This window comes from Homo sapiens, chromosome 9, assembly GCF_000001405.40.
Source record: "Homo sapiens chromosome 9, GRCh38.p14 Primary Assembly".
Taxonomy (NCBI): Eukaryota; Metazoa; Chordata; class Mammalia; order Primates; family Hominidae; genus Homo; species Homo sapiens.
The window spans coordinates 97,639,241-97,653,544 of NC_000009.12; the positions used below are offsets into that span (position 1 = coordinate 97,639,241).

General features: G+C 36.0%; 1 protein-coding gene across 5 annotated transcripts in view; it reads left to right on the forward strand.

Annotated features, from left to right (window-relative positions):
- NCBP1 (nuclear cap binding protein subunit 1) overlaps window positions 1-14,304 on the forward strand; it is a 39,928-nt gene that overhangs the window by 5,420 nt on the left and 20,204 nt on the right. Inside the window, exons 2-10 of one of the 5 annotated variants that reach the window (NM_001351504.2) lie at window positions 1,554-1,642; window positions 2,322-2,451; window positions 3,964-4,120; window positions 5,877-5,984; window positions 6,371-6,492; window positions 8,252-8,321; window positions 8,768-8,983; window positions 11,263-11,360; window positions 12,070-12,133. In NM_001351504.2, coding sequence (NP_001338433.1) covers window positions 2,429-2,451; window positions 3,964-4,120; window positions 5,877-5,984; window positions 6,371-6,492; window positions 8,252-8,321; window positions 8,768-8,983; window positions 11,263-11,360; window positions 12,070-12,133 — 858 coding nt within the window. In that variant the 5' untranslated portion in view covers window positions 1,554-1,642; window positions 2,322-2,428. The remainder of the gene's footprint in view (window positions 1-1,553; window positions 1,643-2,321; window positions 2,452-3,963; window positions 4,121-5,876; window positions 5,985-6,370; window positions 6,493-8,251; window positions 8,322-8,767; window positions 8,984-11,262; window positions 11,361-12,069; window positions 12,134-14,304) is intronic. The other 4 variants (NM_001351506.2, NM_002486.5, NM_001351505.2 and 1 more) reach the window with 4 other exon arrangements.

A 14,304-nucleotide genomic window follows, 5' to 3' on the forward strand; every position in this document is an offset into this window, starting at 1 on the left:
TTGGGAAGTTGACGTACAGAGTGTCTTACCCTGTAACCTTTATAATACCCCCCCTCAGATCCTATGTGGATAGTAATAGATTCGTTTTATTCAGCTTCAGTTCATGTGGTATCTGAAGATCATTTCAGTCATTCAATAGATTTAACATTCCAAGCTTAGAATAGCCAGGTGCTGTGTTTTATGAGAATCACCATACATCATTTTCAAGCCAAGTGTTCCATAGGCAAGTAAGTGATTATGAACTTTGTAACAATAATTCCTTTGGCTGTTCAGATCTGAAGATTGAAGTTATATGTAACTTGCTACTGTGTAACCATATATCCAACTGCAGATTTTCATTATTAATACCGATTCCCTGCACAGTTACAGGCTCTTGCTTTCTTGTCCATATGCCGACCAAATAATTGAATCAATGGAAGTCGAAAATTGGATTGTATTAGACTAGCCAAAGTGTTTAGCAGCAGCATCAGGTTCCATACTTAACACTATTATTTTAATTTTTTAAGCTTTATGTTATACCACAAAAGGACTTAGGTGAGTGTGTTAAGGCTTTAAACAAAGTGGTAAGAGATACAAACAGCAAGGGTCTTAATAGACAGGTGTTTGAGGTTAATTTTTAGCACACCTTCATTCAACTTGAATTGTTGAGCAATCAAAAAGACAGATGCTTGGTAATGATTTTAGAATGGTAGATTTAAAAAACATAGAGATTATTCGAATGATATGGTTTTTAAATAAAGCAGTTATCAGTAATTCAGTTAATAAAAGCTAGTTAAAGCAGGAATTGTAAAACGTGGTCCTTTTTTCCACCAATTTTTTGATATAGTGCTCAGGACTTTTCTTTGAATATACGTATACTGACTGTCGTTCCCATTATTTAGGATAAACTATACCGTTGTGCTGCATCATATGCAGAACTGAAATTGTTAATTGAAGACTTGAGATTAGAGCTTAGAAACATGTGAAGCAAGTGAGAAATCCTAATGTTTTATGCTCCTTTTTCCCATCTTTTGAAGCTTTCCTCTTTATAGCTGATATGACAGCTTTTTTTTCTGATCAAGTCTTTCCAAAGCATTCGACTTGGTTTTGCACCCTTATTTTGTCATTTACATAATACATTATTAGACTAATGAATACTACTGGTACTAACAGGTTTCGGAACAAGCAACTGAGGATCAGTAAACAACTCAAGTTAAAAGAATGGGAGTAGCGGTACATGAGTATTCTAACTACTAGTGTTTAACATGTTGTTGGCAGCTTTCCAGCTTGTCCACAGAAATGGACAGGGCTGCTGATTGCATAGCTCCATGGGCACTACTCACACAAAATTTAACATAAATAATGCCTCCTGGAGTTATTGTATATAGTGGCTCTGGGAATGGGAGGCTGTTGGTTAATCTAGCTTAGTCTGAGAAATGGAGGGTCTGTGAAGAGCTTCTACTCTGTAAAAACATAGGGCCTGGTAGAAAAGAGATTATAACCTAAAAAGGTTAAATAAAATTTGTGATAGCAGATTTATCATGTAATGTTAATTTTTTATGTTGCTGAAATAGGTGGGCAGCCTCACAAAAGGAGAAAGACCTCTGATGCAAATGAAACTGAAGATCATTTGGAATCTTTAATATGTAAAGTAGGAGAAAAGGTATGTCACACAATAGGCACAGGCTGTGATGGGTTTAAGAATGTGGTTAACTGTGCTTTGATTAATTTTTGCAGCTGAAAAGTTGGACTACATTTTGGCAAAGCTGGTATTACCATGCATCTGTATCCCAAATTGAATCCATGTTGAAGCCCCTGGGATGTAGATAATTGATCATTTTTAGTACTTTAGTAATTAATAATTTTCATAGAAGATGAGCCCTTAGAAGGGACCTAGGGTATAGACCCCTTAATTTATGCATGAACTAAATCAGCCCTGAATACTTGAGGTAATTTGCCCAGAGTAAGAGAGTGAATTAGTAAAAGAGGTAAAATGGAGCCCATGGTGTCCTCCCATTTCTAATACTTATTCTGTTATCATAGACTGCTTAGTTTTTAAATTTCACTCGTCCACTTTTCATGGATTTCTGAAGAACAATAACTATCTGAATTGATTTATACTAAACCCATTATAGCTCTGTATGCATGTAAGACTATTTTAATGATCATGCAGAAGTTTTTATTTTAGTTCACTAAAATAGCAATTGAAAGGACAGATGATTGGTAATGATTTTAAAATGATAGATTTTAAAATATGTATATATTTACATTTAAATAGATTTTTAAAAATAAATTTATGTTGCTGAGTACTTGACAGATATTTAATGTGATGTCCTCTACAGAGTGCCTGCTCTTTGGAGAGCAACCTAGAAGGCTTGGCTGGTGTTTTGGAAGCTGATCTTCCTAACTACAAGAGCAAGATCTTAAGGCTTCTTTGTACAGTGTATGTATGCAAAAGATTTATGAATCCAGGTGATAATGTATTATCTACTCTTAAATGCTTTGGGAAATGTTCAAAATACATGTTTATGTTCTATATGTCCTTGGCTTTACTTCTATGGGGAAATTTGTACAAATGAGCCAACCTTTGGCGCTTTGGCGAACTCTTTTTCTTAGGGATAAAACTAAAATTGAACATTTTCCTTGTATGTTCTTACAACCTTAGAATCATTTTAGTTGACTTTTTATAGAGATAGTAGATACTGTCTCATTCAGATATATATTTTTAAGCATGTACATTTAAATGTATGATACTTACATTTTTAAATTAGTACCAGACAAATTTGGGAATTGGTAACTCAGGTAATAGCCCTTCTTGGAAGACTGAAGATGCTTTGGAAGCCACTGTTAATAGGCATACTCTCTGGATAAATGGGAGTCTTTGTAGTTACATGAAATTGTAATGTATCCATGAGGTGTTTTTAAATTATGAAGGTGATGTTTATCACTTCTCAGCCTTTTAGTTTAGATCAAGTGAAGGTAACTTTAAGAAACTACTAAGGAAATCTTCTGAAATCCTTTATTAAAATGGAGTAGTATTTACACTTAAACTGTTGGAAGCCTTGTTTGTTTAAGGCTGAACTTGTATTGCTTCGCAGTGTTCTTTTTTAATTTTTGGTTTTGGGAGGGTTTCAGGGACCACAGTTACCATCAACACAGGTATTTTTTTTGAAGACCTTGATTGTCCCTGATGTTCTGCTAGGTACTTTAGGAAAACAAGTCAAAGAGAATCTCTTGCCCACTTAATGATTATGAATTCTTATTGCTTTTTGAGCTAATTCTAAAGGCTGCCTAAATTAGGAAAAATTGCTTTTTCTAAAGGTTTATTGTAATCCTTTCCCATACTTTTAAAATAACTTTAATGAAATCAGCACACTTGGAGTAAGCAACTGAGACGTAAACAAATCTTAACTATATCAGAGTATGTTTTTAAAAAATTCAATAATTAAACTGGTAGGAACTTAGATGAAACTCGTTTTAATTGTGCATCTTTTCTAAACAACTAGAATAGTGTTTCTCAAAGTAGAATTCTAGTTCCATGACATTTGGTTAGCTAAGTTTAGAAATTCTGAATGCTGCACGCCCCCCCTTAATGATTCTGTATTAAAGAGGCTTGTTTCACCCAGGATTTCTGAGCTATTTTACCATGGAAACCATGTTCTGTGGAAATGCTATTCAGTTCCACTAAGCACACTTGAAGAAAAACTGTTGTAGCATTAGTTTTATTTATTTCAGTATGATAACTTTACAATTAAATCATTTACTTTCTTAACTCTTAGATTAACTGATGAATTAAAATGAAAAATTACGGGACTATGTCTGTAACATTTCTCAATGACATGCTTTTTCTGAAGTATTTTTAAAGACATAGCTAAAAGTAATCCTGTTCCAAAGTTAATGGAATGATAAAAAGATTCACATAAAATTCAGCAACTTAACGCCATTGTTTTGGGGTTTTCTTGTTATACTGGGTTCTTAAATCAGTGCACGCCTATTACCTGAGAAGCTGACAATTTATACAACATTAGTTGGACTACTGAATGCCAGGAATTACAATTTTGGTGGAGAATTTGTAGAAGCCATGATTCGTCAACTTAAAGAATCATTGAAAGCAAACAATTATAATGAAGCCGTGTATTTGGTAAGTTAGTTTGTTTGTTGGTATGTTATGACTACTGTTGGGATGGAGGGAAAAGGTGAACTACAACCAAATAATTTAAAATGCTCTCCTAAAACATTCTCATTCACTTTCATAGCTTCATAAGCCACCTTTATTTTGACGATACCCCCAAATCTGTAACTGTATCTCCAACCTTTCTCCTGAGCTCCAGTCCAGTATTCCAGATGCTAGCTGCATAGCCTTCAGATACCTTACTAGGAAGTGCCTAAATTAATGCATCATTCATACCTCCTTTTTTCTGCCCTCTCCCCAGCTCATACAGTGGCCACTGTGTACTGAATAACCCATCTAGAAAGCTGAGCATTAATTTTTGTCTTCCCTTTGCCCTCTCGTACCATAGGTGTTCCCAATCCCTGTCAATTCTGTCTCCCTAATTTCTCTCAAGTCTGTCCTTTCTTAGTCTCCAGGGCCTCTAGCATAGTTTATGCCTTCCTCCAGATGTTCTTAATAGCCTCTTAACTGATCTTTTTGCATCTAGATTCTCTGCTTTTCACTTTGTGTTCTACAGTGGCACCAGACTGGTCTTTCTATAACTAGGCTCTGCACATGTTGGTTACTGGTTAAAAAAACCTTAGTTCCTTCCCATTGTCTACAGTGAGTGGTCTTAAAAGCCTGGTGCACAAGATGATTCCTTGGGTTTCAGGAAGTGAATATTAAGAACTCTTATTTATCTTAAGTGGAAATGAAATTAAACCTTACTAATAATACATAGATTAATGGTGATCCAGTGTATATCATAAATACATATGTATGTGTTGAAGATATGTGATCAAATTCTTTTTTACTGAGTACACAATCAAAAAAGTTTGGACACCCATCAGGCTATAGGATTAAAGTCCAGACTCTTTAGCCTGACCCTTTATGGTTTCCCCAGTCTGTTTCTCTATTCTTGTCTCCCATATGCTCCCCAGCAATATCAAAATAACTTGCAGATCCCTAAACACACCTTGTTTTTGAACCTCTATGCCTAGACTGCCCTCCTTGCTCACTACTTGAGGCTGTTGCTATCCTTTATGACCTAGCCTAATTGTTACCTCCTTTGTGATGCTTTCCCCAACTCCCTTTGTCATTGTTCCTAAAAAATGCTTAATTTGCCTTTTAGTGTGGGAGTCATTCCTTTGTATTGAGATTGTGCTTGTTCCACTAGAATGGGTCCCCTAACAGTGACTTTTAGTAGTGTTTAGCAATAGCACACTAAGCACACCCAATAAATATGTGTTCTGTAATTTCCATTTCTGTAATTCAGTGAAAATTACAGCCAAACAGAAAAGGAGATTATAGGTTGAAGTAGCTAGAATATTTTACAATCTGGATTCTTGATGTAGTATAGCATAGAAACGTATGAACTCACAGATTACTGTCCTTTATATAGTCTTTGTTACAACTTCTCAATTCTGCCATTGTAGCACAAAAGCAACCATAGACAATATGTAACTGAATGAGCGTGGCTATTCCACTAAGTTTACTTATGGGCACTGAAACTTGAATTTCATGTAATTTGTATATGTCATAAAATACTCTTGATTTTTTTTTCACGCATTTAAAAATGTAAAAACCATTTTTAGTTCCCAGCTATGCAAAAAACAGGTAGTAGGCTAGATTCAGCCCTTAGGCTATAGTTTTTTAGACCAATAGTTTAGCCTATACAAGATTGCTTATTTTGTAGTTATTATAAAGAACATTTAGGTTTAATAGCAGAAATTGTTTGCCCCAACAGGTCCGTTTTTTATCTGATCTTGTGAATTGTCATGTGATTGCCGCCCCATCAATGGTTGCTATGTTTGAAAATTTTGTAAGCGTAACTCAGGAAGAAGATGTACCTCAGGTAAGAGAACCCCTCATGCTGAATCTTGAGGGGTTCTTGAGGGGTTACTGAATCCTGGTACTTCCATATAGTACCAGGAATTTTTCGCTGATAACCCATTAGCAATAAAGAAAAAAATAACAGCAGACTATCACACTTTAAGTTCTTACTATCTAAAAATTAAGCTGACTGGCACACTGGTGGGTTCTCATAATATCTGTATGTTGATTTAAATGATGCTGTCTAGTAAGATTAGAACTAATATATCTAGAAATGCTCTGTATAAACCAGATGTCTTATTTAAGTCCTATTAAATAGCTTCCATAGGATTTCATTCAAGAATAAATAAAATATGAATGAATATAATTAAAGCATATTTTAAACTTAACTTTTTAAAAATCCTTTAGGTGCGACGAGATTGGTATGTGTATGCATTTCTGTCATCTTTGCCCTGGGTTGGAAAGGAGTTGTACGAAAAGAAAGATGCAGAGATGGACCGCATCTTTGCCAACACTGAAAGCTATCTTAAGTAAGGGCACAGCTCATAGTACTCTTTGTTGCTTAGGTAAAGGATATCTTATATCAGTGATACCATTTGAGTTTCTCAAAAATAAGCTGTAGAGTTCCTGAAGGTATTTTCTAGGTAATCCTGTTCTCCTGCTGTTTTAACTCACTGAGACCTCAAAGTAGTCAGATATGGTTTGCTTACTTTTGCCAGTGCAAAGGACAGTTGGCAATATAGCTTCTTTTAAGCTGCTTTTATATGTTTGTTTATAAAAGACATAAAACACCCTAGTGCAATAGTTCCTCAAATATTAGTGTGGATAAGAATTACCTGTGGTACTTAAAATACTCAGACCCCAACCCCCAGACCTGATAAATTATACAATTTGAGAGAGAGGTTTGGACATCTGTATTATTAACACATTTCACAAGTGGAGAACCACTGTCCTAGCACATACAGTATATTTAGTTCATGTAAATTAATCTTAAATCAAGCTCTTAAAACAGTGGTCCTTAACCCTCCATCCAGCCAGTACTTCTTAAGTAATATGACACATTTCAATTAAAATAGTCACATGTCTTCCCATTACTCATCTCTCCTAAGCCAATGTAAAAGCTTGGTTTATATTGTTAGATACAATAATAATAAATAGGTCTTTTTAGTAAATTTATGCTTAACTATCCAGCAACATGGTAATGGTTATGTGGCCCTTAGGTTTTTACAGATTGATTTTGTTGTTAAGTTTCATTTTCTCTTTTTTAAGTGCTTTTTTTGGATAACTGTTAATAGCTACTTAGTTGGTTATTAAGTAAAGTTAAAAGAAGCTTAAAAAATAAGAATCTTTTGGCCGGGCGCAGTGGCTCACGCCTGTAATCCCAGCACTTTAGGAGGCCAAGGCAGGTGGATCACCCGAGGTCAGGAGTTTGAGACCAGCCTGGCCAACATGGTGAAAACCCATCTCTACTAAAAAATACAAAAATTAGCCGAGCGTGGTGGTGGGTGCCTGTAATCCCAGCTACTCGGGAGGCTGAGGCAGGAGAATTGCTTGAACCCAGGAGACGGAGGTTGCAGTGAGCCGACATGGTGCCGCCACTGCACTCCAGCCTGGGCAACAGAGTGAGACTCCGTCTCAAAAAAAAAAAAAAAAAAAAAAAGAATCGTGTGTGTGTGTATACATATCCTTTCTCTTTTTTATTCAAATGATAGCCCAATATACACACTGTTCTTCACTTGGCTTTTTTTTTTTTTCTTACTATAACTTGGATTTGTTGCATAAAAATACTTAACTCTACTTCATTCTTTTTAACAGTTGTAGGGTATTTCACTTTTTAATGTACCATGATTTCCGTAGTCTCCTGTTGGTGGACGTTTAGGTTATTTTCAATCTTTTGCTCTTATAAACAATGTTTCAGTGAATATCTTTGTGTATATGTTTTTATGTACATGTGCAAATATATTTATGGGGGATATAAATTTTTAGAAATGGCATTGCCGAGTTGAGGGTTCTAAACAATTTTGATAGATTTAGTCAAATTACCTTCCAAAGAGATTATACTTTCCCAAAGAGATTATATCAGTTAACCTCTTTGTCAACAATGTTTGAGACTGAATCTTGACCTGCATCTTGATGATACACAGTACATTATCAAAACAGTTGATATCTGCCACTCCAGTAGGTAAAATGTTATTTCATTGCTTTAATTTGCATTTTAATAACTGTGAGGGTGACTGAGCATCTCTTGTTTTTAAAAGCCTAAATGTAGATTTTCATTTTTATCTTTAGAAGACGCCAAAAGACTCATGTACCCATGTTACAGGTATGGACTGCTGATAAACCACATCCACAAGAAGAGGTAAATGGATTTCAGTCCCTTGTGATACAAACACAGTCAGCTCTTGAATAGATTCTTATCTCTGTAAGATACTCAGACCATTCCATTTTACCCTTTGACTGTGTTTCTACATTTCATGATAGTTCCTTCTCATAGCTCAAGGTGTATGGTAGGTCTTTAATAGATGATAGAATGTAATTGAAATATTCCCTTGTTCTTTGGAATGCCAGCTATTACAGAGTTGACATATATTTATTTAAATGCTTAATTTGAAAAATGTCAAAACAGACAGTTCCAAACAGGTAGACTTTGTAAGTAAAATAAAAACAAAAACTTAGCACCTTTTTTTGTACCATCTTACAAGTTAGCTTACTTTTGTATCCTGTATTTTAAAGGGTAGTGATTTTTTCATTTTGTCTAGTCAAAATGTTAATTATATTAATGATTAAAAATTAATCTGTCTTTAGTATTTAGATTGCCTGTGGGCCCAGATTCAGAAATTGAAAAAGGATCGCTGGCAGGAACGGCACATCCTAAGACCTTATCTTGCCTTTGACAGCATCCTGTGTGAAGCACTGCAGCACAATCTGCCTCCTTTTACACCACCTCCTCACACTGAAGATTCAGTGTACCCAATGCCAAGGGTCATCTTCAGAATGTTTGATTACACAGATGATCCCGAGGTAAGTGACCGACTAAAAGTCCTAGATATTGACCTGTGTTGCATTGTGCTTGTGGGTTAATCCCGCTTGAATTATGCCTGTGGTATGTTTTAATTTTGAGTTGTTTTTATCTAAGAAGGTCAGTAGCAATGAAGTTAACTTTTTAATTCAGTGAATGATATCACCTCATTATGCAAGAAATTATATTTGGCATGTGTAAATAGATTACAGAGACGTGCACAGTTTGCAGGCTAAGAGTGTGGGTTTTGGGTTTTTAGAGCTACGTTGGTTTGTGTTTTAATCTTGGTTTAGCCAAATACTAGCTGTGTTAATTTGGGAAGGTTATTTACCTCCCTGTGCTTTCATTTCCTGAAGGTAATAATAATAGTATACATCTCATAATAGTAGTATATATCTCATGTTATGAGGATTAAATTATTCACATGTAAAATGCATAGAACAAGAACAGTGTCTGTCACATGATGAATGCTCAGTCATTCTGGCAATTTTTCTTTCTTATTTTTTTCTTTTCGAAATGGGGTCTTACTTTGTTGCCCAGGCTGCAGGTGAGATCTAAGCTCACTGCAACCTCTGCCTCCTGTGCTCAAGCGATCCTTCCACTTCAGCCTCCTGAGTAGCTGGGACCACAGGCATGTGTCACCTAGCCTGGCAAATTTTTTGTAGAGTTGAGATTTCGCCATGTTGCCCTGGTTGGTCTCAAACTCCTGGGCTCAAGCAATTCGTCCGCTTCGTTTTCCCAAAGTGTTGGGCTTACAGGCATGAGCCACTGCACCTGTCCATAATTATACTTAATAAGGTTATTTCTCAGTAAAAGTACCTAGTTTTAGGTATGGTCCCTCTCTAGGCAACACAGCCTGTCTTGTGATTATTCATATTGTATGATTATTTGAAAACAAATGTTGGAAGTATTTTTAATTAAAAAATTCCAAAGATTAGTCTAAGCTGACTTTATCATTTTTAATATACATGTTCTTTATTTCAAAGTCAAGTTTCCTGGCAGCCATTGTACTGTTATAATTGTATATTGTACAATTAAGAAAATTTATAATTTTCATTGTGGGTACTATCCTGTGTATTGTAAGATGCTCAGCGGTGTCCCTGATCTCTACCCTCTAAATGTCAATAGCACTCTCCCTGCCTCAGTTTTGACAACCAAAAATATCTCCAGAGAGTGCAATATGTCCCCTCAAGAGCAAAATTGCCCCCAGTTGAAAACTATTGCCATAAAAATTAATATTACCACCTAAGTCAAATTTGAGTTTCTTCTATTGTCTCTTTTCTGTTCTATGGTAAAGTGCTAATGACCAGTAGGAATTTAGTATATATGTAATCTATTTTGGAATAAAAATTTCTCAGATAATCAGTTACATATACAAAATTATCAGCTTGCTGCCGTCTTTGCTATATTCCATATGTAACCAAATACTTTAGTCAAAATTATGTAATGATCTACTTAGATATGTCTAACTGAAAATCTGGTTTACATTTAAGACTGCTAATGTTTGTGGTCGGGTATTTTTTTTTTTTTGTGCAGGGGAAACTAGAATGGGACCTCAAAATTTGTTTCTCCTGAATTTGTATTTAATTGGTATCACCTCTGTAAGGTGCATATCCATCCCTTGCTAGAAGAGTATAAATATATAAAATACATATTACTCCCAAAACGAACAGGATTTTGTTTCTGTTCTGGCCTTTTACAAGTTGTTTATTAAAAAACATTAGAAATTGTAAAAAAAAGATTAGAATCATCCAAAAGTCATTATTAAAGGTTTATTTTGTGTGTTTTGAACCTGTTTGCTATGAATATACTTAAGAATAAAATAATGCCATGTAGGGAATATGTTTTGAGCTTAGACAGTATATTATGGGCATTTTTCAATTCATGCATGACTTTTTATGGCTATGTGGTGTTTGAATAGAATTTTCTCTCTGCATAGTTATTAATGGAAATAATTCACTCTCGGTTTAAAAAATAAACTCTGTAAGACTTGTATTATCCAAAATTATTTAGTTTCATATAATAATTGGTGTGTAAAGTAGGCAGTGGTTGTATGGTTAGGTATGAGATGTGGTAGAAAAAACACTACAGCTGATACTCTGGGGTATAAGTGAACATGACAATGGAATTTCCTGAAATATAGAGCTTTAACACTTCAGAACTTTTATCCCCATCACCCAGTTTAGTGCTTGGAACATAATAGTCTCTCAAATATTTGTTGAATAAGTAAAAGAAATCTGTTTTCTAGGCCTGTAGTGTACACATTTGGTTTTCTTTCCAGGGTCCTGTCATGCCAGGGAGTCATTCAGTGGAAAGATTTGTAATAGAAGAGAATCTTCACTGCATCATTAAGTCCCACTGGAAGGAAAGGAAGACTTGGTAAGATTCTTTTCATGGTACTTTTAGAAGGGAGAGAAGCAGCAATTTTGATAATTCAGTAAGAGCAAAATATATGTTGAGAGTGTAAGAAAATTTTATCCTCCTGACTCCCTGTCTTGCTAAAATCAATTTCTAAAAACACTTGCTTTACTTTCTCAAGGCTCTTCACCCTTGTATAGTACTTTTCGAGGTGCTTTATAGTAATAAGCGTATGATGCCAGTGTGTTTGGTGTGGATATTTAGTATATGCTATGGAGAGCTTGAATGGCAAGTTATTTTGGGTTTGGATACCAATAGTTTTGCTCTGTTTTCTAGCATTTAGACACCCAAGCTTTGGAATTTTTTTTTTTAAATAAAATTTTCTTAAACTTTGGGAAGTTTGGTTTAGATTTTAAGGTGGAAATGAATATAGTATTATGAGAGTGATCTACTCTATTAAAACTTCTTTAAGTTAGTACATCTGAATATGCTTCCTTAGTATTATTACCTAGACTCCTTTTGAGCTTTCAAGAAATTTTGGATGCAGTAAAGATTTTCCTTGTGGTAGACAGAATAATTTATGCCATAGTTAAATGAAGTAACTGAAATCTAGGACATTTCAAAAAAGATTTTTCTTTGCTTATATCTAAACACATTGCTTTTGAAACTGCTTATTTGACTTTTCTTGTGTCTTCGTATACTTATTAAACTTAAATTACACTTTTTATAGTGCTGCACAGTTAGTGAGCTATCCAGGGAAGAACAAGATCCCCTTGAACTACCACATAGTTGAGGTATGAATTCCATGTGGAGCGTGTTTCTGAGTTTCAGAATCTTTCTGTTGGCTTTAAAGTATGATCTACTCTTGGCTTATTTATTTATTTATTTATTTATTGCTACTTGTCCAGCATTCAGAATTAATAGAAGCAAGGAAATTGCTGTCGGTTTTGGTGCTCTATTAGCCATGTTAGTAAAGAGAAAAAAGATTGGAACCAGTAGCCAAATGGAATTTTGAATTGCCTATAAGTTATTTATATAGTATGTCTTCATTCATGGATAGTTGTTGTGGATAATGTAAGTTACCTCTAGCTCTGTCAATACATTGTCCACTTAACAGACGTATAAGTGATTTAAATACTTTAAAATATCATTTTAGACAGATAACATATCTTTAATTGTGTTTATCTGGCCTCTCAGTACTAGCATAAACTTAGTTAGTGTATTATTTCCTGTAACACAAAGTGTAGATGAATCATCATTTATTCTTAGAAATCTAAAGAGCCAAGCAGTTTAGAAATAGAGTAGCAACACTTTTGACTTCATATTAACTCATACAAAAGGTTGATGTTAGTATACAGTTGAATACATTATAGAGATTTATATCAAAAAACAGTGTTCACTTGACACGTGAGTCAAACTGTTAACTGCATTTTTTTTTTTTCCAAATGGAGCCTTGCTCTGTCGCCCAGGCTGGAGGGCAGTAGCGTGATCTTGGCTCACTGCAGCCTCCGCCTCCGGGGTTCAAGCAATTCTTCTGCCTCAGCCTCCTGAGTAGCTGGAACTACAGGTGCACACCACCACGCCCGGCTAATTTTTGTATTTTTAGTAGAGACAGGGTTTCACCATATTGGCCAGGCTGGTCTTGAACTCCTGACCTCGTGATCTGCCTGCCTTGGGCTCCCAAGGTGCTGGGATTACAGGCATGAGCCACTGTGCCCAGCCCACTGCATTATGTCTTTATATTAAAGTATTCATGGGCCAGGCTTAGTGGCTCATACCTATAATTCCAGCAATTTGCGGGGCTCAGGCAGGCTGATAGCTTGAGCTCAGGAGTTCGAGACCAGCCTGGGCAACATGGCAAAATCCTGTCTCCACTAAAAATACAAGAAAAAAAAGAAAGAGCCAGCCATGGTGGCACGCACCTGTGGTGCCAGCTACTTAGGGGTGGGAGGATCACTTGAGCCTAGGAGGTCAAGGCTGCAGTGAGCTGAAATTGTGCCTCTGCACTCCAGCCTGGGTGACAGAGTGAGAGTCCGTCTCAAAATAAATAAATAGTGTTCATGAAAGAGACAGCATAGGATGTATTAAGAGTCGTATCCTCTACCGACTGAGCTAGCTGGGCCTGATAGGATGTATTAAGGTTCATATTTTGTTAATATTGCACTTTGGTGCCTTTTTAAAAAAAGTACTGTGTATTTCCTATCTTTACAAAACTTGGATATACTTAATGCTGTGAACTTGGCTCAATGACATGTCTGAAATGCAAAATGTCATTTTTAAATCTGCAAAATGTATAGAAATTCATCAGACCGAAGTGTAGAAGTGTGAGAGATAGGTAAGAGTAAAGGATGCAGACTAGGGCTTTAGAATTCTAGACAGGTGGTCCACCAATTATACAGAGAGAGTAGGAAGGAAGTTTCTGAATAAGAGGCATGGCAAAGAAGTCTTGGACTGCCAGAAAGATCTGAGCATCTATTTCAAGTAACAGTGTGGAATGACTTGATTTTCTTGTTTCCTGACCCCAAAGTCTAAAAGAATTCTTTTTTTTTTTTTTTTTTTGAGATGGAGTCTCGCTCTGTCGCCTAGGCTGGAGTACAGTGACACGACCTCAACTCAGTGCAACCTCCGCCTCCTGGGTTCAAGCAGTTCTCCTGCCTCAGGCTCTCAAGTTGCTGGGACTATAGGTGCCCACCACCACACCTGGCTAATTTTTGTATTTTTTGTAGAGACAGAGTTTCACCGTGTTGGCCAGGCTGGTCTTGAACTCCTGACCTCAAGTAATCTGCCTGCCTCAGCCTCCCAAAGTGCTGGGATTACAGGCGTGAGCCACTGCGCCCAGCCTAAGAGTTCTTGTTATTTATAGGAATGAAACTGTCATGGATCTTTTGAGCCCCTCAAAAAGCTGTACATCCTGGCTCAGCTGTGGTGCTTTCAAAGTTGGAATTTAATTGCATAGTTCTCTGGG